Here is a 2,107-nt window from a genome sequence, read left to right on the forward strand (position 1 = left end):
AAAAGTTCATGCTTAACCCATCTAGATTCTGTCCATGGTTCTGATGCTATCTTGACACATACAACCACTTGGAAAATACTCATCCCTGGGATCAAGATAAGCCACCCTGACTATGTTGTGTGTCTTCTTGTTTACACTGCAATTTTCAGAGTGTAGAAATTGAGATTCTCACAATATAGTGAAACCTTCCTGAGTATGGGCTTCTTGAGATTGAGACACATTCGGATCTCCTCCTCAGGAATCATTTAGTAATTGCTGAATCAGTTTCTTTGATTTTCTCCTTCCTACATTTTTGTTTTGCAAAAAATATACCTGCCTGACCTCACCACTTTTCATTATGTGTCACGACCTCTCTCTTCATAAATGCTTGGCCTGCCTTTCTTAGCACCATTATTGAAGAGAGATAAGGTAGGAGCATGAACATAAAGCTGTGATTTTGCCCATTCTCTACAGAGAACAGAAAAATCAGGACATGTATAGATATATATAGTATGTTAATTAAGTCTGGAAAAGTAGAATTCTTTCCCCAAAAATTGTGAATCTAATGGTCAAATTTGTTTTATTATATTTTGGAGAGTATAGATGTTTGATCCTCAACAACTCTAACAAGGAAAGTAAAGAATGAGGCCACAGGAGGTCCCCTTTATAAGAATATAATAAAGGTATAAATAACATATGAGATTTCTTCTACCTTCCTAGATTTTGAATGCCCAGTGAAGTCCTGGGCAGAAGAATGATGTGGGAAAACTGGACAATTGTCAGTGAATTTGTTCTCGTGAGCTTCTCAGCCCTGTCCACTGAGCTTCAGGCTCTACTGTTTCTCCTTTTCTTGACCATTTACTTGGTTACTTTAATGGGCAATGTCCTCATCATCCTGGTCACTATAGCTGACTCTGCACTACAAAGTCCTATGTACTTCTTCCTCAGAAACTTGTCCTTCCTGGAGATAGGTTTCAACTTGGTCATTGTGCCCAAGATGCTGGGGACCCTGATCATTCAAGACACAACCATCTCCTTCCTTGGATGTGCCACTCAGATGTATTTCTTCTTCTTTTTTGGGGCTGCTGAGTGCTGCCTCCTGGCCACCATGGCATATGACCGCTACGTGGCCATCTGTGACCCCTTGCACTACCCAGTCATCATGGGCCACATATCCTGTGCCCAGCTGGCAGCTGCCTCTTGGTTCTCAGGGTTTTCAGTGGCCACTGTGCAAACCACATGGATTTTCAGTTTCCCTTTTTGTGGCCCCAACAGGGTGAACCACTTCTTCTGTGACAGCCCTCCTGTTATTGCACTGGTCTGTGCTGACACCTCTGTGTTTGAACTGGAGGCTCTGACAGCCACTGTCCTATTCATTCTCTTTCCTTTCTTGCTGATCCTGGGATCCTATGTCCGCATCCTCTCCACTATCTTCAGGATGCCGTCAGCTGAGGGGAAACATCAGGCATTCTCCACCTGTTCCGCCCACCTCTTGGTTGTCTCTCTCTTCTATAGCACTGCCATCCTCACGTATTTCCGACCCCAATCCAGTGCCTCTTCTGAGAGCAAGAAGCTGCTGTCACTCTCTTCCACAGTGGTGACTCCCATGTTGAACCCCATCATCTACAGCTCAAGGAATAAAGAAGTGAAGGCTGCACTGAAGCGGCTTATCCACAGGACCCTGGGCTCTCAGAAACTATGATTGGCTTAGATGGAAACTGAAGGGGTAAAATGTAAGTACACACACAAAAAATAGAAAAATGAATTCCTCAAGTGGATTTTGTGTTTCTACTCTTTCCAGGTGACACGGTATGCCTACTGAAATTTTTTACTTTCTACTAAGACCTATTTCTGAAAGAAAGAACATGAGTAATGTGCTACCTGACTTCAAACTATACTACAAGGCTACAGTAACCAAAACAGCATGGTACTGGTACAAAAACAGACATATAGACCAATGGAACACAACAGAGCCCTCAGAAATAATACCACACATCTACAACCATATGATCTTTCACAAACCTGACAAAAACAAGAAATGGGGAAAGGATTCCCTATTTAATAAATGGTGCTGGGAAATCTGGCTAGCCATATGTAGAAAGCTGAAACTGGATCCCTTCCTTATACC

At 42.7% G+C, this 2,107-nt stretch overlaps 1 protein-coding gene across 1 annotated transcript; it reads left to right on the top strand.

Moving 5' to 3' along the window:
• The first annotated feature begins 710 nt into the window (after positions 1 to 710).
• OR10A4 (olfactory receptor family 10 subfamily A member 4) lies at positions 711 to 1,705 on the top strand. Its single transcript, NM_207186.2, has one exon. The coding sequence runs from the start codon at positions 734 to 736 to the stop codon at positions 1,679 to 1,681; it is 948 nt and encodes a 315-aa protein (NP_997069.2). The 5' UTR covers positions 711 to 733; the 3' UTR covers positions 1,682 to 1,705.
• Positions 1,706 to 2,107: the final 402 nt, after the last annotated feature.

Source organism: Homo sapiens, chromosome 11 (assembly GCF_000001405.40).
Source record: "Homo sapiens chromosome 11, GRCh38.p14 Primary Assembly".
NCBI lineage: Eukaryota > Metazoa > Chordata > Mammalia > Primates > Hominidae > Homo > Homo sapiens.